The sequence below is a fragment of the Homo sapiens genome, chromosome 15, assembly GCF_000001405.40.
Source record: "Homo sapiens chromosome 15, GRCh38.p14 Primary Assembly".
NCBI classification, from domain to species: Eukaryota; Metazoa; Chordata; class Mammalia; order Primates; family Hominidae; genus Homo; species Homo sapiens.
In genome coordinates this window covers 36436370-36460992 of record NC_000015.10, presented here as the reverse complement: position 1 = coordinate 36460992, position 24623 = coordinate 36436370, and the positions used below count along the sequence as shown (strand labels likewise).

Genomic DNA, 24623 nt, shown 5'->3' with positions numbered 1-24623 from the left:
TATACAAAGTCATGCAGTGATGTAATGGACTTTGGCGACCTAGAAGTGGAGAGAGTGACAGGGAAGTGAGGGATTACAAAATGTATAGTAAGTACAACATATACTACTTGGGTGACAGGTGAACTAAAGTCTTAGACTTCACCACTACACAATTCATCCATGTAACCAAAAACCACTTGTACTCCAAAAGCTATTGAAATAAAAATATACTAAAAAATCATAAAAATAAAAATTTAAATGTAAATAAAAGAGAGTTTGCAGGAGTAGATATAACCAATTAGTGTCAATTATGGCTGCTTTGTCAATAAGTGGAATAGTATGCTCATCTAGTACTATTGATGATTTCAAGCCTGGTTGATCAAATTCATTTGCGTCCTTAAAAAATTCAACTTCCTGGGCCTCCAATCTAGTTGTATTAAATATGAATCGCTAGGGAGTGTGACCAGGGCATGTGCATTTAAAAAATCTCCCCAGACGGCTCTCATGTGCAACCAGTTTTGGGGAACCACTGAGGTAGGCTGGAGTCTGGCCTCTTAGCAGTTCCTTAAAGGTAGTCTATGAATAGAGATGCTGCTGCTGCTTTCACTTGTGTGGTAGAAGGACTTTGTTTACCTACAGAGTCATAAAGAGGAACGTCACTTGGAAATTCACTTGGATGCCACTTTGTAAGCCTCAGTCACAGAAAATGTCTAAAATTTACTTGTGACTTTTTTTTTTGCCTTGCTAAAGAGTGTACTTTCCTTTTTTTTTTTTTTTTTTTTTTTGAGACAGAGTCTCGCTCTGTCGCCCAGGCTGGAGTGCAGTGGCGCCATCTCGGCTCACTGCAAGCTCCGCCTCTCCGTCTCACGCCATTCTCGTGCCTCAGCCTCCCGAGTAGCTGGGACTACAGGCACCTGCCACCACGCCCGGCTAACTTTTTTGTATTTTTAGTAGAGACGGGGCTTCACCATGTTAGCCAGGATGGTCTCGATCTCCTGACCTCGTGATCCGCCCGCCTCGGCCTCCCAAAGTGCTGGGATTACAGGCGTGAGCCACCGCACCCAGCCTCCTTTTGTTTTCTTTTGAGGGAATAAATACTATAACAATTCAGTCAATGCTTTATATTTGCCACGGTTAGAGAAGAACTGGAATAAACAAAAGTTCTTGCTTTCCATTCTGAAAGTATGGCAGAGTTCTTTTGTGAAGGAATTTGGGTCACAAGGTACTGTAAGAAAAATTAAACATTAGTTTTCATGAATTTCCTTGAGAAACAGGTTTTAGAAATGTGTTCACCATGTATCGGAATATTTTACTTTCTTTTAAGTCATATTATATATTTTGACAGGCCCTCAGTTTAACAAAATGCATTGGTTGTAAAGGACAAATATCTCACTACTGTTAATTTGCTTTTTATTTATAATGTCTTTTTCCGTGATGCATGTATGCTTTGTTCTTCCCTGCCCCCAGTCTTCTTTCAGCTGCAATAGATTTACATATGAGGTTTTAATTTATTTATTTGAGATGATGGAAAGGGCCAGAATTATATTTGGACCTGTGTATGCAAAGGAAGATGAGAAATTTCCCGTGGGGTGTAAGAGAATGAATAGATTTTAACAAAATAAAATGAGAGACCAACATTGCAGATGCTCAAAGTTTAAACAGACTCTGAGAAAAACTGTAAATCAAAGATTGTAAGCTCTATATGATATTGAAGTAATAGTATACTTTATTTATAATAAAATCATTTTTCTTTAGCTGTTATGAGTAGGATTTTTCTTATAAATTAGTCAGTCATGAAAGTATCAGAGGCATATCTAAAAAAACTTTTTCTCCATCACTTTCCTTGTTGTGAATAATTTGGTTTAGTTGATGTGGAGTTTTCTAATAGTTGCATATCCCAAGATCAGCGTCTAATTTATGTGTGAGAAACATATATTGGTTTCTTTTTTATGGCAAAGAGAAAATCAGATAGTATGGGTCTATTCCATTGATTTCAGAAAAATAAATAAACCTAAAACACAAAATACCACCAGAAGGATGAGGGCTAAAAACAGTGGGTCTGTTTGCTTTTAGTAATTTAAATTTCATTAGGGTAAAGTCCAACAGAAGGAATATTAAAATCTAAACTGAAATTGTTATTTAAAATCATGTTCTTGGAGAAGGGGGCAGGTTAGAGATAGAGCTATAAGTTGTGAATCATGTAAAACTGATTTAAGATTCAACTGCATTTTATACTTTCTATGAGGCCATTAGAATTGGAGTATTTCTTTGAATGAATTGTGTTCCGTTTCCAAGGCCTGTATCTGCTCAGACTTGGTTTGCATGGTGATCACAGCGCAGCCTCAGGCATCCTTCCCTGTGTGTGTTTGAGAAATACTGTATCACTAGTCTGCTCCTGGTTTTCCAGACAGCCACAAATGCATCACTAAGTAAGAAAAAGCACGTTTACTCTGCTCAGAGTGGTTCGCTCTTCTATATTCCCGAGCAAACTGACTCAAAGGCAACTTTCTCCTTTAGCTTGGGTGAAGTATGTCCTTTACATTGAAGAGTTTCTGTTCCTTAAGCTTAATGAAAATACTTTTTGATATGAGTTCCCATGCAAGCTAATTTAGCATCCCATCTACATCTAACCATAGATAGCTGTTTTGAAAATACCACTGGTCTGTAAAGAGATTTATGCTAGACAGTGTATTAGAATAAGAAAAAATTCATTCTAGCTATTGGTAAAACAACTCATTACTTTACGTTCTGTGGCTGCAAATGATGCTTCCACATTAGGAGGGGAACATGAAAAGAGAACAGTGTTACTACCTAATGAATTCTGATCAACCTCATCATGAACTATTTACTGTAAGGAAGAACATTGAATAGAATTTGGGGTTACTTGAACTCTTTGGGAAATATCTTTTCTTTGTGTTGTGGTTGGTGTATGCCCAGGCTCCTTCTAGTCAAACTTCCACCACAAGTGAACAATCAGCACTCTCCAAACTTAACTCATACCCTGTGGATATGGTAAAAAAAAAAAAAAAAATCCCTAATGAGAATACATTCATTAAACTAATCTCTTAGTCAAATAAAGAAGCCAATAGATTGTGGGAATGGCAAAATCAACAAGAGCACAACCCATCAGACTTTCAGGTGAGCTTCTATTATTGAATCAGTATGCACATTAAGAATAATCTGAAATGCAGCTGTAATGGTGGTTCTTGAAGTTTTCTGGGGATTGATAGTTCCAATAAAATAATTAAAACTTCATTTTTTGCTAAAAAAATCATGCATATGTAAGTTCAAACAATTACATTAATGGAAATACATGTAGATGAAAAGCCTACATAGCTTTCTAGAGAGTTAATTATTTATGCAAAAAAAAAAAAAAAAAAAAGAACAAAGGACCTTGGCCAGGCACGGTGGCTCACACCTGTAATACCAGCTCTACGGGAGGCCAAGGTGGGCGGATCACCTGAGGTAAGGAGTTTGAGACCAGCCTGAACAACATGGTAAAACCCCGTCTCTCCTAAAAACACAAAAATTAGCCAAGCATGGTGGCAGGCATCTGTAACCCCAACTACTCAGGAGACTAAGGCAGAAGAATCGCTTGAGCCTGAGAGGCAGAGGTTGCAGTGAGCTGAGATAGTGCCACTGCACTCCAGCCTGGGCGACAGAGCGAAACTCTGTTTAAAAAAAAAAAAAAATTAAAACCTCAATGTTGTCTCTCACTTGGAACCCTCGACGAGTTTAGGCAATAGCAATGATTTTGTCTCCATAATTTATAATTCCAGTCTCATTTCATTCCAGGTAATGTGTTCGGTTTTTCCTTCTGCAAGGCAGGTCCTGAAGGGAGTTACCTTGCCTGTATGCATATGCGTGTGTGTGTGTGTGTGTGTGTGTGTATGTGTGTGTGTGTGCCTTCAAGTAGGTGTATGAAAAAGGGGAGTCATCCCATACTAACTATATAGGTGATAGCAGGTGAGTGAGTCAGGAAAGTGGTTCTTGAACTTTGCGATTAGAAAAAGTTTTCTAAAATGTAAAAGACTGCAGAAATAAATTTAGAATATTAAGGTGGTTTGAGGTTTGTGTAAAATTTAGAAATTGATAAAGCTTTGGGAATCCTAACTTTTTAATGGCAACAAAAATGAAGCGGCTGGATAATGTGGCCAAAGACTCAGGACTATATTTTCCACTTTCAGCATTTTGACTTCCTTATTTTTAGTGTAACAAATTGTTGTGGTTAATGCTTGAGTGTTGGCATTAATGTTTAATGAAAGTTATATTTTTTTCCTCTATGTGATTTTAGGAGATTTTCTGCATGCCTAGGTATAATTTTATTATATGGAGAAGCTGAATCTTTTTTCCAACAGCATACAGCTGTGATTATTATATAATGGGCAAAGAGTTCATGGGAAAATTGTATCCCCTTAATAGGCCTTTGCTGCACACACCTTCTGCTTGTACAGCCCCTGCTTTGTTTGGTGATGTATTCTCATAGAAACTCAAATGCACTTTACTTGGCCTGCTCATTTGAGTAATAATGCACTTACTGAGTGACAGCCTCTACTTGGTAAGAGAAAAACTTCTGCAAATAGTGATCCTGACTGAAATTAATATTCATAAAGTTCGCCTATGCCCTTAAAAGAAGGTAGGTGCTAAATGCGTCTTCCAACCTGGGTCTGCACATGCTTGCGGTGTGTATATACACCATAGTCATATGATAGGACCCAGAAAACATAACCATAACTTCCCTTGTACTCACAACATCAACATGGATGCATTTGCTTAGGAACCAGGGAAGGCTGCAACAAATTAAGTTGCTCTTTTGAGTCTCATATATTTGGAAATGTTCTTCAGGTCTATGTTATTTTTATGAAAATATACCTAACTCTGCTACTAAATTATCAGATTTTCTTTCTTCTTCAAAGCTGCTTTATGATTCTGAAGTACTCGGAAATAAAAAATCAGTTTCCAAATGAAGTAATTGTGTCCCCTTACATAGGGAATCAAGTCTGAGGTGAAGCAGCGTGTCGTCCTTTTAGGGGGTGTGAGGTAAGCAATATGTTTATGTCCTCTTTTGAAGAACAAATAGATAATATATCAGAACACACGACTAGGCCTCAGGAGGTGTGGCAGGCAGAATTATGGCCCCCAAAGATGTCCATGTCTGTAGTCCCCACAACCTGTGAATATATTACCTTATATGGTGAAAAAAAATAAGTGCAAATGGAATTAAGGTTATTAATCAGCTGACCTTAACGGAGCAAGATTATCCAGTTAGGCCCTAGGCCCAGTGTAATCAAAAGGGTCTTATATGGGTGGAGAAGAGAAGCAGAAGAGGGGGTCAGAGTGATGCAATTGGTGGTAGGAAGGAGGAAGAGAGAGAGAGAGGGGGGGGGGACAGATAGAGATAGTTAGATAGACAGATGGGTAGATATATGATAGAGAGAGAGATAGAAACTTCTCAGTTAATATCATAACCTAGTCAACCTCAGTGGAAAAAGACTCAATTATATAGTATTGGTTGGGGAGTAGTTTTGCTGTCTAAAAACCTGTATTTGTTCTGACTGACTGTGATTCAGGTAACCCCAGTGGGTTGGCAAAATTGGATATAAGTTGAGATTTGACTAGGTTTGCATGACCAATAGCCTTTCCAATTTAATAGAATAAACAGCGCTTCTATGTGTGCCTAAGATATTGACATTATCTCAACCAGAATGAATTCTTTGTGGAGGAACAGTAGGATTTTTTGATACAATGGTAAAGAAGACCTATTATACAAGAGCATTTTATCATCTGGATTCAGATATACCAAATGCATACTGTGAAAACCTGCTAGGATTAGCCCACGTTGCAGATGATAGTCCTGTCTTGCGTTCTCACACCATAAGAATGTCCCACTATGTAGTTTATGAATGGAATCTAATTTAAAAACTATAAGATTACAGAAAAGCATGGTTATCTGAACGTTTTATCAATTTTTAAGTAACAAGTCTATTATGTGTGTGAATATATTTAAATATTTTTCTTAATTCTTTACTAGTAGAGTATTAATGTCTAGTGTAATTACGAAAAAAATTTTCTAATTTTTCAAAGTCATATTTAGGTGTTTTAAGACTGTCAGCAATGGTGACTTGGAATTTGTTAATTCTTTCAAGTATTTTTTAGTATTACAAACTAAAAAATAATAAGAAAGTCAGAAAACTTGCAACTTGCCAAGTATTTTAGCTTTTCTGCAGAGGCAAAGATATATACTAGGGCACCAACTATCTGGAGGGACTGTAGTTGATAGACCAGACAGTGTACCTTAAAATTTTATGGCTCACTGACCCCTTTGAAATTTTGATAAAATCTACAGACTCCCTCTTCAGAAAAATGCACACACAGACATACATACACATAAACACACTTTACACTATCTCAGACAGCTTATAGATCCCCTGAAGCCCATTCACGAGCTGCTTAAGGTTAATAACCTGTTGTTCTTTAAAACTTTGTGGCTTTTCAAAGACACGAAACCAGCCCATGTGACCCATCAATGGTGGATTAGATAAAACGTGGTACACTTACACGATGGAATACTACACAGCCATAAAAAAGAATGAAATTATGTCCTTTGCAGCAACATGGATGCAGTTTAAGGACATTACTCTAAGCAAATTAATGCAGAAACAGAAAACCAAATACTGCATGTTCTCATTTATAAGTGGGAGCTAAACATTGGGTACACATGAACACAAAGATGAGAACAATAAACACTGGGAATTCTAAATGGTGGTGGCAGGGGAGAGATGCAAGTGTTGGAAACTACCTATTGGGTGCTATGTTCATTCCTTGGGCAATGGGATCAATAGAAGCCCAAACCTCAGCATCAAGCAACAAAACCTGCACTGTACCCCCTTAACACTTTTTTTATTTTTAAAGAAAAGTTTTCTCAATTAAAATAAATAAAACTTTGTGGCTTTCTTGTTTGGACTACGTTAACACAGTGAACTTGAACTTAGGTTCCTTAAGGGATTCAGGGGACAGGTACGTTGATATCGTAATAAATAAATTATTTGGGTCATACTTTAATTTTAAATTTTAGGCAGTTTATGATCTAACCTCGGGTGAAGTCTAAGTAGTTATTTCTGCTCGAAGTCTAGAGTTTTAAAGCAAGCAGAAAATTTTGATGGGAAATTACTTTTAGGGCTCAGAGTGAAAGAATTCAGACAAAACCAGAGATTATGAAGAGGAGGCAGATTCTGATTTTCCTGATCAGATTTATGAGTGAAATTTGAATTAGGTAGGAAAGAATAAGGAGGTATGCAGTGGTCTTTAGCAATGTGTCATCAAGGCAGGTGGGGTTACATGTAAACGAGGTCTGGCTGGAGGTTGCAGAGGTGCAGGAGATGGTTCTAAGAACCTGGGCACTCAAGTTTTGGGCAATGGAGTCAGAGAATGTCTGGTCAAGAGGAGATGGGTGGGAACAACTAACAATGGACATCATGATTGACTTGATCTTGAACCTTGGTCTTTGGAGGCAGGCAATTTCATGCACTCTTCACTAGGACTGGGACAAGAGGCCCTGAGCTCAAGGGTAGGAATACGTATGCAAATCTAGCAAGGATAGAAAAGCAATGCGAATCTGGGCCTCCAAAGTGTGTGGTGTCCTGTTTTGGAAAAGCACATGGATTTCTTAATACAGTTTATATGTACCTAAATGAAGTTGTGTATCTTAGTAGGCAAATCCTAGCATGATTTAAGGTCATTTACTCCATGGAACTCTTCTGGATCCCTTCCCCCACCCCAATTAAAATTATTAGTAATGTGACTGAGATTACAGCTGAGATCTCCCTGCCTCCTAAGATCTACGTGAATTTGAATCCCCAGCAGAATTTCTGAGGACCTTGGATGACCTTTCATCTTTAATGAAGATTTTTGTTAATTCCTGAAAGATTTCATCAGGGATTCATGTTCTCAACTCCAAGACTTTGTGGCTGTTCTTTGATCTTGTTCTGGCATCAGTCCTAATGTGGAACTCTAACTCTTCTTTTTTGCTTTTGTGCATGTGCACAATATGCACACACACACACTCATGCTCAGATTCACAAAAATTCAACTTTGAAACAACCCTTTGTGGTATAGAACTGACTGTACTGATGGTATGGGGACATGAAGGTTTAATCTAGTTCAGCAATTTAATTGAAAATCAGATATTCAACAGTCTATAAGATGGGGACAAATGAGGGCTGAAGTCTAGCCTTGTTGTTCCCCAAGCCAAAGATGGAGGCTGTGTCTGCCCAGAGGAAGGGTCACCTTTTGAAACACATACAAAGATAGCAGGCCATCCAATCACCAACACTTTTGCTGACCTCACCCAGAGGTGGCTTCTTTTCTGACTTTGTTAAAGACTCCATGTAGCCTAGTAGCAGCTATTCCTTTGGCCATTCTGCCATATTGCTCTGACATTCTTCTTAAGAGCTCTGGACACAGATGGCCTGGGTTTGAACCCTGGCTTTGCCACACAATAGCTGTGTGACAGTGGGCAAGTTATTTATCTGTATCTCATTTTCCTCATCTGTAAAATAGGAATAACAAAGGTTCGACCTACTTTTATAGGGTAATTGTGAGGACTGAACAATGTATAAGCATGTAAAGTGCTTAGAAGTAGCATCTAGAACATAGTGCTGAATAAATGCTAGTCATTAATATACTCCTAAATATGTCATTTCATGCAATGAATAATATTTTATTCATATAATAAAATTTCTAGTAGTTTCATGTTACTGACAGAATAAAGTTCCAACACCTCAACCTGACATTTAAAGTCTGCTCACCACATCTATTTAGTTATATATCCCACTCCTTTGACATACAATAAAGCCTCCACTTTAGCCAGGACAGTTTGCTCACTGATAGCTCCATCTTACTATGTTCACCCCCAACTCTACACCTCTGCTTCTGTTGCTGAACACACCTGATCGCACAATTCACATGACACATTCTCAAAAGATGCTTGATAAATGCACATGAAGGTCAAAGTAATAAAAACATTCTTCCCTAGTGACGAGTGAAAAAATAAAGGAGGAGAGAAATCTGAGCTCATTAACTGGTAGTAAATGAGAATTTAAATAAAAGGCTTTTATTGGGACGTTTATGACCTTTGACTACAATATACTCACCATAGTATATGTCTACCCATAAGCACAACTACAAGGCAAACACCTCCCCTCATTCTTTTCTCCTAACATCTTTCACTTAAATGAAGGTACCAATGATGTTTCTATTAGAGGTATCTGATCTTACGCAAGGATTAAAGTCTAAATATATGGTGTTACAAAGACTGACATTTTAGACTTTAACTAAGAAACGAAATGTGTAATATTTTTCCACATTGCCTTCAAATATCACCCTTTGGGCTGTTGCTTAATTTGCAGGAACACGAACATAGTTTGAATGCTAATTAACGAAAGGGGAAAATGAAAAAGATAAAAGAGGAAGGGCATCCTGACCCCTAGTGTTTACTTTTCCGCCCAACTTCATTGGTAGTGGTTGTGCTGCTACTTCAGAATATTTAATTTGCCTTTTTGCCATCCTTATGACCCAGTTCTTTCTGTTTTGTGACTGTCACTTTGGTGAGAGAGAGAGGCTAAATGCCACTGATTTCCTTCTTTAATTTTGGTGATTATTTCCCATGCCCAGAGGAAAAAGTCATCTGAGAAGCAATCTCAAAAGCTGCTAACAATCTGGCAAGGAATTTAGAGAGCAGATAAAGCTACTGAGAAGTTTTTAGGTGCCCATGGGTAAAATAAATGGTTGGGTTAGCTGACCTTTTGCTTTTGAAGCTGGCATCCAACGAGGCTTCACACAGCGGGTGGAAGGCCTCTGTGGTCCTGACCAGGAGAGATGCTGATCCACGGATCTCCTCAAAAACATGAGTCTAGAAGTAGGAGACCTGTGTTCCATTCTGAGTTCTGTCATTAGATCTTTTAACTGCTCTGTGTCTTAGTTTTTCACATCTGTAAAACAAAGGGCCAGTCACTGAAATATTTATTGAGCACTAGGCATTGTTTGAAGTGTTAGAGATGGGGCAGTGAACAACACTGACAAGGTTCCCGCTCTTTGTGTGTTGGGGTGGGGAATATGGAGGGAATGGAGACGGTCAAGAGAAATGTAAATTAATACAGAAGAAAATTCCAGATACTGATAATAGTTATGGAGAGAAGAACCTTAGGTTGAATTCAAGAAAGTGACTGGGGGTGGATTAGGGAAGGCCTCTCTGAGGAGGCTGACGTTTAAGCTGTACTGAAGGGTGAGAAAGAGGATGTAGGGCAGCTGTTCCCAGAGAGAAGGCAGAGTTGGTGCAAAGAAAGATTCTAAGGCAAAAATTAGTTTAGTGTCTTTGAGGGACTGCTATGAAGAGCGAAAGGAGAGTGACAGGAGATGTGATTAAAGAGGTGGGCAGGGGCCACACAAGACCTCGTTGACATTGTAAGAAAACTTTGAATTTATTCTTATTGCCATGTAAACTCATTAGAGCAGCATTTGTTGTTCAACAGAAATACAATGCAAGCCACACATGTAATTTTAAATTGTCTAGTAGCCTCAATTAAAAGTAAAAAAAAAAAAACCCAAACAACAGATAAATTAGATTTAATAAGATATGTCATTTAACTTATTTATTTCAACTTGTAATCACCATTAAAATTATTAGTGGGCTATTTTACATTCTCTGTTTTTTAGATTAAGTCTTGAAACCCCTGTGTGTATTTTACATTTTTAGCGCATTCCAATTTGGATCCAAAATTTTCATTGGGAATACTTGACCTGCACTGAGACTTCCTAAAATCTTCAATTGATATAGTACATTCACATAGCCAGGTTATTCCAAACATAGTCAAATGCTTTCCAATAATTGAATTATCCATTTTTAAAACTTAATTAATTGAAATTAAACAAAAATAAAAATCCAGCTGGTCAGTTGCGCTAGACACTTTTCAAGTGTTCAACAGGCACATGTGGCTAGTGGCTGCCATATTGGACAGCAGAGCATATAAGAGTTTTAAACACAAAATGACGGGAGTTGATTTGTTTGAAAAGGATCACTGGTTGCTATGCTGTGTCATTTCTTTAAATGACTATGGCACAGAAAGTGTGATATAGGGGACTGATAAGACAAAAGTCAGTAAACATTTTCTGTAAAGAGCCAGAGAGTAAGTACGTTAGGCTCTGTGGGCCATGCAGTCTCTGTCTCAGTGACTCAGTTCTGCTCTTGTAAAGCAAAAGCAGTCATAGGCAATACATGAAAGACTTACCATGGCTGTGTTCCAGTAAAACTTTATTGAGGGACACTGGAATTTGAATTTCATATAATTTCACATGCCATACAATATTATTATTCCTTTGTTTTTTATAATAATTAAAAAATGTAAAAACTATTCTTAGCTTTCAGGACATACAAAAAGAGGCAGCAAAGGGGGATTGTGAGCTTCAGTTTGCTGTCCCCTGCTTTAATGTCCTGTGGCAGCAGTCCCAGTGAGAGGTGCTAGTGTTTAAGAGCTGAGGGTGTGGCCAGGGATGAATGTGATTCCTGCGATAGAGCAGGCTGGACTTGCCGATTGTCTGGGTGTGGGGAGCGAGAGGAGAGAACAGTTAAGAACAAAGCCGGCCACTAGGCTTCAGTTTGAGCCTGAACAGACGATTTCTAAAGTTCCTTTTAGTGCCAACCATTTGTGATCTATGATCTTTAAGATGTATCCATTTTTTTTTTGGACCAACTTTTGGAATGATATGCTTCCTTTTTCTTGAGTGGATGGATTCCAGTATCTGGAAATTGCAAACCTGGAGATTTTCACTGCTAAAGGAGTGTTGTATATTTTAGCTCTTCACTGACAGCCTCATTAAGCCATTTTATAATTTTAAAATTTGTATGTTGTGAAATTTCATGCATCTTAAGAGAAACTTTTCCATGTACCAGTGATATATTTCATTTCTGTTCAGCTATGATCCTATTTAAATAGGTTAAACCTGCTTGTTTTAAAACAGCTTCTAAGGGAATTCTAGATCATTTAGGTCCTTCCCTCCCTTCTTTTTGTTTCATCCTATTGTAGTGATCTCCCAGTGAGCAAAGGTTTCATGGATTAAAACAGTAATTGATTTTGTTTTTAGCTTTTATTTGAATGTATCCTTTCTCCTCAAATACATTATGCAGCTCCAAAGAAACTCATAAATTATAGACAAAGCAAAAGTTAAAATTAGATCTGAGTGTAGTGTAATGTCCAAAGGAAAGTATTTGAAAAGGTTACAAGCTGTCAAAAAACAATTTGTATGGTTAAAAGCCACACAGTTAGATGCTGTTAATGGAGTATCTGTAATGATTATTTGGGCATTGGTTGCTTATTATGTCTCTGTGGCAACTAAGTGTGTTACTTTGGAAGCCAGAGAGACCTGGAATCCAGCACCTATGATACTGGAGAAGTGTGTGGAGGAATGTGCTGTTCCACATCAAATAATCAGTGCCTCTTCTTTCTCCAGATTTTAATAATTCCCCACCCCCTCCCAAATTGTCATTGGTGCTGATTGCAAAAATAAAAACTAGTTACTTCAGTGAAAGAATCATAAAGTCAATCATGTGGATAAAATTACTGAGTTATCCAGCCAGCTGGTCTCTATTTGGCTCCACTTTGGTTCATTAGTTTATGAGGCGAATTCACTCCATATTTAAGGAAAGAATAAACGGCATCAAAACTAGTTTGTAATTAATTGCAGCTTTTTAGAAAGGAATGCATTTGCAAATTGAGAATATGCAATGTCAGGTCCTGCTTTCTGACTGTGTTGTGAACCTGTCTAAAATGTAACTTTCTTTTGTGTTTATGTTAACGCTGGGTACAGGTTATACACTTTTTCAGATGCTAACTATTACTATCTGATTTTAAGAGTTTCTTTTGCACAACTTTAAAACTTTAATATATTATGGGTTGGCCAGAGCATGTGCATCTCCAAACAATATGAGACATTTGGATGCCTAGCAATATAATCTCAGCACCTATTTCATTGTATTGCCATGCAGGCGATTAGATGGGCCTGTGCAACTGTAGGCTGATGTTGAAATGACTGTACATCACAAAACACTGTGGTTTCCATGCTTGATTAATGGTAAAATGGCTAGTTTTAATTACTTGGGTATTTCATGGACCCATAAATAACAAATACATGATTCTCTTGATTTGGAAAGCTTTTATAAATGGACATAAAAGCAGTCAAGCAACTCTAGAACAGGGCTTCTATGCCTCTAGCTCCTCATAACAAGGGCCAGAGTAAATGCAAAGAACACAAAGTGCTTCAAAGAAAAGGAACCCAGTAGATCAGAGCACTGTTTCATGCTAACTCTCATAAACACAGAAAGGAAAAATCTGTTGAACAAAGAAGCCAAATGTCATAAATATGCCTCCCTGTGTCAAAGACTGGGAATTCTTGCTCACAGAGCACAACAGGCAAAGGCAAAACAGATCTTCACTTGGCTACTGATGATGGAAACAATCCGCCTCAGAGTCAGTCAAGCTACTGACAAAAACATTTCTTTGGAAGTGATGGGTATTTAGGATGTAAGCCCTGTGGCTCAAGACTGAGCTTAAAATGTGTTTCGGGGGATGTCCAAGTACAGAAATCTCTACCAGATGCCATGAGACACAAAGGCCACAGAACACGCCATGACATTTGGTCTACCTTTCTCATCCCCTATTTGTCTCCAAGTCCTGGACCATCTGAACTTGTAAGAAATTATCCATGAATTGAAAGTTAAAGAAGAGGTCAGAAATAGGTAAGTAGATCACCATAAAAATAAATTGGTTTCAAATTAGGGAGTTTTAATTTTCTCTTTAGGCATTAGGAAACGAAGGCCCAGGATAAAAATGTTGAAGTAAGTTTCTCAGAATTACCTATTTGCTTAGCATACCTGGGATAATCTGCAGAGCATTTTACCAAATGTCTTTAATATATGATTTAACTAATTTCTCAAAAAAATATTGTAAAGTAGGTAGGGAGAGTTTTATTTTCAAAATTTTACAGGTAAAGGGACTGAAATTCAGACAGATAAGTAATTTGCCCAAGACAACCCAGCTTGGGAGTCATGATCCCTTCAAGCTGGTTCTTTTTGACTCTGTGAACTTTCCATTATTCTAAATTGCCTCCAAATTTAAGTTCCTTTTTTTCTCCATTTGGTAGTCAAGCATAATGAAAAGCTAAAGCATGAGGAAAGAAAGAAAAATGGGCAGAATTACCTGTGCATCTAATTCCACAGGTGATAGTTTTCTTAATTAAATACTGAATACCACCTCATCAGATTGGTGGAAGAGAAAAATCTAGAACTTTGGTAATGCTACTTCATAGAGGAGCCCCTCTTTGCACTCTTAGAATCTATTCTTCCTCTTCTTAGAGGACCCTCAACATTTCCTCTCAAAATCCCCTCAAAATTAATGCAGTCTCAAAAAAAGGAAAAATGAATTTTGCTTAAAAACACAAAGACATAGGGCCCTAAGAAATGTATCACATCAGAAATGCAATTTTAATGGCCTAAGTTATATAAATGACACATAGTAAGACATTATAATTACCTATTATTTACTTGTGTGTTCTAAGAATTACTGAAAATTAATTGGGAGCAAGATTAACAAGTTTAATCACTTTATGAAATATTCATGAGCGTTCATAAAAACCACCAGACATTTCTTTAATGAATTAATGGTATTTAATATCTTTTCACAGAATTTAAGGATGGAAAAACTCCATTAGATAATTCAGTGTATGTTTTTGAAGTTACTGTCAGTCTCCCTGCAGAAAGGGCTACCACACATTGTTCTTAGCTGACAGATCTATCCATAGTCATGCAAGCGATTCTTTTCTGCTTTTAATAATGAACTAGATTCTCCCATCACAGTCAATTGGACATGACAACAACAATAACAAAAATGTTCTTGCAGATGGACAGCACTTATACTTTTCAAAACATACATTCTGGTCTCGGGGCAGGATATCCATTGATTGTTTTTCATAGCCACTGTTAGGCCAGTCTGAGCTCTAGGTTTCAGGAACACCTAGACTCTTAGGGCAAGATTTGAAATTGCATCTGTTTGTAATGCAAATGAAAAAGAACTGAGATGAAATGGCTGCGGTCAGTAATCTGCAAGTGGGGCACACACCGTATATATACTGTGATGCTGAAATGTGCTCTTCTTTTTTTTTTTTAGTTATTATACTTTAAGTTCTAGGGTACATGTGCTCTTCTTATCTTAATTGGTTGTATCCTCCATCCACTCACTACACCTGCCCCCATAAACTTTCCTTAAATCCAGCAGGGATCTACTAGTTGTAATAAGGACTAAAGTAAACAAACTAGATAATTGAATTTTAACAGTATGTCAAGGAAGTATTACTGACAAAATGAGAGGAGATAATAAATGAAAAGGGGATATTAAGAATAAAATTTTTAAAAGGCAAAGAAGAATTTGATGCATAATTTAGGCATGTGGGATACTCAATAATGACTTACCTTTGTTATCCTCATCAAGGTGTCTCCAAGACTATTCAGGGAGAGTGTACTTGGCTCTGTTTATGGAAATCTTGCTGGTTCTATTTCTGAGGGTGTTTTAGTGAACTTTTAGATAATCTTTTAATTTCTAGGGCTAGGTTCATGAAAATCGGCCACTCAGAATGCTATCACTTTTGAATGAGCTTGGAAATCTGATTTTTTAGTATAAAAAGTGGAGGACAAGAACTGGGACTTACAAGAATCACCAAGCACAGACATTTAGTGAAAAACTTGAGCAGTCAGGGCTGTTACTAGCTATTAGCGTTATTACTTCTATAGTGGAAAGAGACATTTTCTCTTGCTGCAGAGTTAGAAAATGGGTAAACAGGTAAATTCTTGGAGGAATTGTATATTTTATCCTGATTTCATCCCATTATGACCTTTAAAATGCAGGTTAAAATTATAAAATTTTAATTATTTTGCATTTTCAAAATTATTTTAGATGGCTCTATCAAATACTTAAAAATTTAGTTTATGGCTTGAATGAGAAAGTATTGTGCACGGACATTTGAAAACTAACAAAATGTGAAAACATGAGGAAAAAAATCATCTGGAATTTCTCCTACCCAGAGAGAATTGGTATTAATATTTGGGTGTATGTCTGTTATACATTTTTATGCATGGAAATATGTTAAATGTATTAAAATTTTAAAGTAATACCTGGACTAGTTAATGAAAATTCAGCCCATGTAGAAAGGTTTAAAACAGAAAGGACAAATCCCCTTTTCTGTACTGAGATAAGCAGCTTTAACGGTTTTTATTTTTCAATTATTCTGATAGTTACTCTTGTAAATGTAAATACTAAATGTTATTGATTTCTTTCTAGCTATATCAACTTCAGAAACACCTTATGACTTCTCATCAGTACATTTTTATCTCTAGGCTTGATTTCTGCTAATTTGTATTATAATATTATCTTTATGACATTAAAGAATGTGTTTTATGATTTAGTAACCTTAGGCAATATCTAATGATATGTGATTTTTGTTGATGTTTTGGTTATATTATTATCTTTACCTTTTCAGGTTTTAAGACATTTACATTCCATTATATAATTAAAATTAACTGTAACTGAGACTTCATATTTTCTTTCTGAGTCTAAAATTTTATAATTAATAAAATAGGCTTTATAATATTATGATTATGTGAATGTTATTTATTACAGAATCAAATAGTGTAAATAGATCCACAGAAGAAGAAGTATAATGAACCTGAAATTGCTAAACCCCTTTTAAGGAAAATTTTCCTAGCATAATATATGAAGGTATGTCAGATATCTATTTAAATTTTTTGAACTTTCTTCACTTCCTCTCATTCATATTCAGTTGATAGTGTTTCCTTTTATCTTAAGTCATCATCTAGCTTGTATTCCTTTTAATTTTTCTTGGACATCCTTCTTAATGAATGGTTTTTATGAGAGTGGCTTGAGTGATAAGTTTTCTGAGTCTTGTCTGATTGATAACGTTTTTGCTTTTACACTTGAAAAGTATAGGTTCAAATGGTTTCTTGTCAGTTTGTTAGAGGAAGAATTGCTCCATTGTTTTGTAGCATTCAAAGGTAATTTCAATTATTGTCTTTTGTGCTAATCTTGATTTTTTGTTTTGTTTTTGTTTTTGTTTTTTAGATGGTCCCTCTCTTTGTTGCCCAGGCTGGAGTGCAGTGGTGCGATCTTGACTCACTGCAACCTCTACCTCCTGGATTCAAGTGATTCTCCTGCCTCCTGTAGTCCCAAGTAGCTGGGACTACAGGCACCCGCCACCAAGTCCAGCTAATTTTTGTATTTTTAGTAGAGATGGGGTTTCACCGTATTGGCCAAGCTAGTCTTGAAGTCCTGACCTCAAGTGATCTGCCCCCCTCGGCCTCTCAAAGTGCTGGGATTACAGGCGTGAGCCACTCCACTGAGCCTGGCCTTTTAATCTTTTTTTTTTTTTTTAATTCTTTCTTTTTAAAATTCTTGTTTTTTAAATTCTTATCTTTTTAAAAGTTATTTTAGTCACCGCTTTGCTCTTCTTTGCCTTTCAATTGCTTGTTAGATCTTGTTAGATAGATGTTGGATGTCTACATCTCTTAACATTTTACTCATATTTTCTATCTTTTTTATTTTTGCTGTTTGTCTAGGAAATTCCCTCAACTCTGTACTCTTGATTACCAATTTGTTTTATTGGCATTCTTGTATTATTTAGTGTGATGCTAAAGTTTCTAGTCTGTCATTCATATTTTTAATCTTTTTAATGTCTACAATAATGCAATATCTTCTATTGCTCTTTTCTTATTGTGGCCCATTTGAATTTTATGCATATCTTAGCTTCTTTAGTCTCTCTGAGAAAATTAATTAGAAATTTTAAAAAGTATTTTTTGGGCTGGGCATGGTGGCTCATGCCTGTAATCCCAGTACTTTGGGAGGCCTAGGTGGGAGGATCACCTGAGCCCAGGGGATCAAGACCAGGCTAGGCAACACAGTAAGACTCTGTATGTACAAAATTTTTTAAAAAAACAGCCAGGCGTGGTGGTGAGCACCTGTAGTCCCAGCTACTAAGGAAGCTGAGGTGGGAGGATTGTTTGAGCCCTAGAGGTTAAGATTGCAGTGAGTCCTGATCATACCGCTGTACTCTAGCCTGGGTGACAGAGCAAGACCCTGTCTCAAAAAGAAAAAAGAAAAGTGAGTTTTCCATCTCTTCAAAGGTCAGAATTTTGTTTGTTAATTTCGTCCTTCTCCTTTACACCATTGACTTTCCCCAAATGTTTGTTGCTCCCTGATCATCCGTTCATATTTGTGAATGATGGGCTAATTTAATTGATATACATTAATTTAATTTAATTCACTCTGCAGTTGCATAGTCCATGACACACTTTAATACCATGATTTGGTCATATTTTCCTTAGTAAAGTCCAGGAGAAAACAGAATGGGAGGATGGAAGATAAAAGAAGGCAGCACTTCTAAAAGAACAAATAACTCAGTAGGCACAGGTTACTTGGAACTGAAGTGGACTTGAAACTATAGGCAGAATACTGTATTTTACAAATGAGGAAATAGGTAGAAGTTTAAATTATTTGTTTAAAAACAGCAATTATGACTTTTGTTTCAATAATCTTATTTATAAAGAAAACACACTTTAATTTTCTTTGAAGCAACATTGACTTTGACTTGCATGTGGATTAATCTTTATAGAAGGTAATCCCAAGGTGGCGAAATGCACTGAAGTTTCGTGTGCGGAACACAGGCTGTTTAAGCTGTTTCAGACACAAGTTAACTGATTTATTTTGCATAAATTTCTTAGCCATTCTGACCTTCAGTTTCCTTAAATAATCTGTAAATAATCTTAAATTTTTTCCTTAAATTCCTAAATCTTAAATTAATTTCCTTAAATAATCTGTAAAATGTTAAATCTATAATATGATTATTTAACAATACTTACCTCCCAGGACTGTTTAAGAATAAGTATGCAGGCATTCCTGAAATAACAAATGATATTCTTAATAGAATAGTCAGTTGGGTGGTTACCAAATTTTTATTGAGTTTATTATTAGAGTATACTTATTCTTTTAATTGAAATACATAACCAGGAGAGTTATGGAAAACTGAATCACTTGGGAGGATAATGCAGCCTATGAAATATATGTACGATTCTGCAAAGTTTGGATGTTTAATCATTACCCTGAAATTGGAGCATGAAGAAAAGACAAATGAAATGTTCTGAGTAATGTTTTAGACTCTTGTTAATTTAACAGATTGTTAAATGGGATTTTCTTTCTGTCTTGCAGTCTTGGTGGGGACCAAAAAGCTGAAGAAATCAGAGATAAGTGCTGCACATTCTAAGGAAAGGTGCAAGACATCTGCGTAAGACTAGCTTTTCTCTTCTAGTCTGTAGAAAATAATTCTACAAATTTTCAAAGGAAGAGAGTGAGAACATGATTTTTAACAGCATGATTGAGATACAATTTATACACTATACAATTCACCCATGTATAGTGCATGGTTCAATGGCTTTTAATATATTCACAGTTGTGCAACCATCACAACAATCAATTTCAGAACAATTTCATTACCCCTGAAAAGAAGCTCCTCACCCCTTAGCCATCACCTTGCTGCTATGAACATTTGTGTACATGTTTTTGTGTGTACATATATTTTCATTTCTCTGGGGTCCCTGTCTAGGCATGGAATTTTTTGATCACATGGTAACTCTATCTTTAACCTTTTGAGAAACTCCCAGACTGTTTTCCAAAGTGGCTGCATTACTTTACACTCCCACCATCAATGTATGAAGATTCCCATGTTCTACACCCTGGTCAACATTTGCTATTATTTGTCCTATTGATGATACCCCTTCTGTTGAATGCAAAGTGGTATCTCATTGTGGTTTTGATTTGCATTTTCAAGATGGCTGCTGATGTCATAAATCTTTTCATGTACTTATTATTCATTTGTATGTCTTCTTTGGAGAACTGTCTGTTCAGATCTCTTGCCCAGTTTTTAAATTGGGTTATTTGTCACTTTGTCGTAAAAGAAAGCTGGTGGTGTTCCTGGCTTCCCACAGCCATGTAAAATAGCTGTAATGCATGGACATGAGAAAAGAAGACTGACATATCATTCCCTAATTAGGATATTATGACCTTCTGAACCTCCCAGGTCCAGGACTGCCACTGAATTGGAAGCAGAGCCTGAGGAGACAGCCACAGTGAAAGCGGCTTGTATACTCTTAGAGTTTGAGGGGCATTGGTGATGAGCTTTCCTAGGGGCCACGTGGATATCTGACTTTTGATGGCTAGAGTCTTTTAGAAGAGGCCCTGCCCATGAGTGATGCCTGATGGGGGCAGGAGTCCCTAGGGATGTAGCCCCAATTTAAAAGCTAGAGCAGAATCAAAAGTAGTTAGCCAGAGCATGTGTCACTTAGGCAGTGTGGGGGACAGTGCACAGGTCCCAGTCTGGAGCTCTCCAAAGATCCCTCAAAGCAGTCCATGAGATAAAGAGTTTACTTTTACATGAGCACCAATCAAGAAAAACTTTGTCCTTTCTGTCTACCCTCCTCAGGGTACTCCACCAGCCCCCAACCTTGGAGGATCCAGAAACAGAAGAGGAGAAGTAGCAAGCAGAGAGCAGATACAAACAGCACTCCCTGCAATCATTTACCCATTTGTGGTTCTCTAGTTGCAAGCCAGTTGCTTATGCTGGGGTAGGGAAAGGTGCTTTGAAATGGTTTGTTTTGATTTAAATTGGATTGGATATTTTCACATCTGAAAATAATACTGTTCTAATACCCAAAAGTGACAATATAAAAGCTATAGGGAAACTTCCTGAGGTATTTTCCAAGAGAGCAGAAAGCAGGTCTAACAGAGAATTTCTTAAAATAGTGGTAGAGAAAAAGGAAACAAATTCTTGGTTGTATCCCATTGAAATTAGCCTGTTCACCTGCACACACATACATGTGTCTACGTATTCTCACAGTATTGCATTTTTTTCTAGGTTGATGAAATATCTTTAAGCTCTTTGGTCTATGCTTCATAAAAGATAGCAAAATAAAATTTTATGGAATTTCCAATAACAGAACATATGGCAAAGATGGAGTCAAGCAATAGAACCCCAGTTTGTAACTGGCAAATTCGGCAGCAGAGTATACAGACCTATGGTTTGTACTTCTGCTCAGGGCTATTAATATTGTAAATGACTCTAATAACTGACTGCTTAGCTTACATTATGTGATGAAGGATCTTCATTCTCCTGGGCAATCTCAGATCTTTTAATAATTATTGGTTTAATAAGTGAAAATATTCAGTCAACAAAATGGTTATTTGAAATAATACCATATGTAGAAACAATTTTCCAAGTTCACATATTAATATAATAATGTGTTAATTACAGAAAGCTGATTGTTTGGGTAGCGCACTCCTAGAGGCTGAAGTGCAGCAACAATGTGGGTCAGTCCCTGAGAGCCTGAGCTCTTGCATTTTGGTCATGTCAAGCCCAAGATCAAGAGAAAGCTCATGTGGTAAAAAGCTTGGCATGACATCTTAGAGACCCAGAGCACGGAGGCCCTTTACATAAACAGAACAAATCCTTTTCAGTGCTTTTAGACCTTAACAAACATGGGGTGATGTACAAAACTGCACTCCCCCCACTATAAGGCTAGCCCCCACCCTACAAACCCCTGAACTCTTTTCAGCATTTCTTAAATCTGTTCCATTGAACAATCTGCGTTCATTGTAACAAATACAATCTCATTGAATTAGATTCTGAAGAGACTTTATAGTAGAGGAAAAAAGGAGACTGATCCTGTATTCTCTTTAGTTTAAACAAGGAACAGAGCACAGCAAATGAGAAATCTTGGGTGAGCTAAGTTCACTGGAATGGGTGGGGAGGGATGGGGAAGAGGAAGGGGGGAAATTGGAGAGACTTGTACCAGATAAGGAATCCATTTCTAGGTGTCTCAGAAACAAAAAACCCAGTGTTAATGTCTGTGCTTTAATTACATGACTGTTAGGTGTCACTGGGCACGTTTTTATTTTTCTATTACAATGCAATACATTTCTTTGAATTTAAACTTCCTTCAATTGTTAGATAAGGCTTGGAGTCAGAATCACCAAAATTATAAAGTGGGAGGGGAAAAACATGCCAGTAGCTATTGAAAGATGTAACAAAGATTTGACTAATCTGAATATTTATAGTTTGTAATAGCTTATTGGCCATCATAGTCTGATAAACCTGCACTATCGCCCAGGCACACACAATTCATTGCCTAGTATCATTATGATTATCTATGGCTGTCTCATTACTCAACCATTGCTTCACTTGTATCAGGAGTAAAAATAAGCCATAAGCTTCCCTGTTGCTTAACCTAACAACAAATCATTCCAATTCCAAGCCCAATGTCTATTATTCAAAGCAAATTAGGATCGTACAGACAGATTTCTTCTTCCTTCACTGGGGCAGCTGACCTCTCTCCCCTGAAGCTGTCGACCCATGCAAATGTTACACTTAGGAACTCATTCTTGATTTTCGGGAGTTACAAATCCCTAATAACTTAACGAGCAAAACATAGAGTTAGCTTTGCAATGCTTCAGCACACAAATTAGCTAGACAAATAAAAAGGATTAAAAAAATCTTGAAAACAGCACTTATCATCAGTCTCCCATTCAGAAATAATGAAGGGAGATGGTTTATACAGACTTAGTAATAAGACACGACATAAATGTAAATATAACATGTTATGCCCTTTCTTCTGGTGAACAATAAGCATTTTGTTCATTATCCAGAGCCTCTTTGTTTATAATGAATGTGGTGATGAATCGAAGTTATGACATCAATTAAATCACAAGTTTGTATTATTTTCAAACAGACAAAATGCAGATATTTTAAGGCAGGTAGGAAAAATGATGAGTTACTGTCTATTCTTGGTCTCTAAATGAGTTATACATATTCAAAAAAGGAACATTAAAGATGCTCTACAAAGCCAGGATCATATATTACTTTTACTCTGAACAAAGATAACATTTGTAGAATGCCATTAGCAATAAATCTTTTAGATTTTTTCACTTAAAATCTTATGATCCCAATGGGAAGAATAGATAATCAGTAAATAGAACTCTGATATCTGTCAGGAATTTGCCTGAATTAGAGCTGAACTATCTTGACAGGGAGCTTGAGAAAAAAAATTACCTTTGGTATTCTGATGAATGTATTTGAATTTTTCTTTAAAGGCATCACTAAAATAGAAACAAAAGTACTTACCTTGTCACAGTTGAAAAACACAGGATGTGTAGTACATAATTACCAATGATACAAAGTAAATATCGTTGGATAAAAAATACAGACCATAGAATCATTTCAAAGAATATTGAACTTGAATATGTTATAATAAAATATAAACTGTTTGGTATTATGCATTTCTCCTTTTTGTGATTTTGTAATTTCAACGTAAGAGAGAAATATGAATTAAAAATGTTTTATAAATTTTCTCTTTTCTTTTCCAACCAATGGTTATGTAAGGAGAGAAAAAAAGAAGGGAGAGGATTTAAAGCATTCTGGAATAGTCTACATATTATGTCCAGAAAGACATGGTTCTTGTTGACTCTTTGGAGCATTGCAGTATCTGGCCCTGAATGTGATTTAGTTATGGAGTCACTGTGTATTAAATACTCAGTGCAGAAGGTTTCATATCTTTCCATCATCTTGTTTCTCTGGAAAGAAAGGGCTCCCAGAAAGGGGGACTGTAATATGCCGAGGAACTCTTCTTGAGAAGAGAGTTGCCTCGCTAACATCTCTGTGCACAACTCCCCCTGCTTTTCTCCTTAAAACATGCATTGCCCATGAACTGGAATAGAAGATGGCTCATTAGCTTCTTAGGGTCCTCTGGAAGCCATAAGAGGACAGTGGAATGTGGCAGGAGGAGTGCTGGTGGTGTCCACTTCAAAGAACAATCCTCTCTCTCAAATCAGTGTGTGACTGGTACCAGAAAAGGCCACTTAGAGTGAATCTATTCAAAATTGAAGCCAACCTTTTGTGGACAATAGTGGAAAATGGAAAGCTTTGGTTGAGCTTTATCTAAAAATAAAATAGAACATAATGAAAAAAATTAAAAAAAATGCTTAACAATGAAAACGATTCTCTAGTCCTTAGAACAAATGAAAAATTAGCCAAATCTTAATTTTTTTCAATTATCTTCCCAGCATAATTTTAGGGTATTAAATTCTCCACTGGGTACTTGACTTGAAGATCATGCTCATAAAAAGAATCAATTGTGCAAAGATATTCCATGGCTTTTTAAATTTTCAAATGAGTTTTCCTAATTATTTGGTTTTTAGCTTATTCCCTTTTGAATCTCATTATCTTTTTCATTTTCCCTATTTTCAATTTTCTGACCTTGATGGAGCCACAAAATCTTTGCCTGTGACTTGAGCAAGTCTCTAATATCACTTGAATAAATTGTATGAAGTCCTGCATTTTGAAAAGATTTTCAATTTAACTTTTTAGGTTTTTTTTCTATTTACATGGGAAGTTGTAACTATCAGATTGTTAGCAGGATTATAACTGATCAAGATGTTGATTTTGTGGATTAAGGTAGGCACTATATTAATTGCAGAGGGGAGTTT

General features: G+C 36.7%; 2 long non-coding RNA genes across 2 annotated transcripts in view; one reads left to right on the top strand and one right to left on the bottom strand.

Moving 5' to 3' along the window:
- The window catches only part of LOC105370768 (uncharacterized), a 38329-nt gene extending 24042 nt beyond the window's left edge, over positions 1-14287 (bottom strand). Inside the window, exons 1-2 of the long non-coding RNA XR_932110.1 lie at positions 14229-14287; positions 9780-9968 (exon numbers count right to left, since the gene is read on the bottom strand). This is a non-coding gene — a long non-coding RNA (uncharacterized LOC105370768). The remainder of the gene's footprint in view (positions 1-9779; positions 9969-14228) is intronic.
- Positions 13609-23412, top strand: LOC105370769 (uncharacterized). The gene is made up of 4 exons (XR_932111.3): positions 13609-13768; positions 16701-16799; positions 19299-19374; positions 20569-23412. It is a non-coding gene; the product is annotated as an uncharacterized LOC105370769 (long non-coding RNA).
- Positions 23413-24623: the final 1211 nt, after the last annotated feature.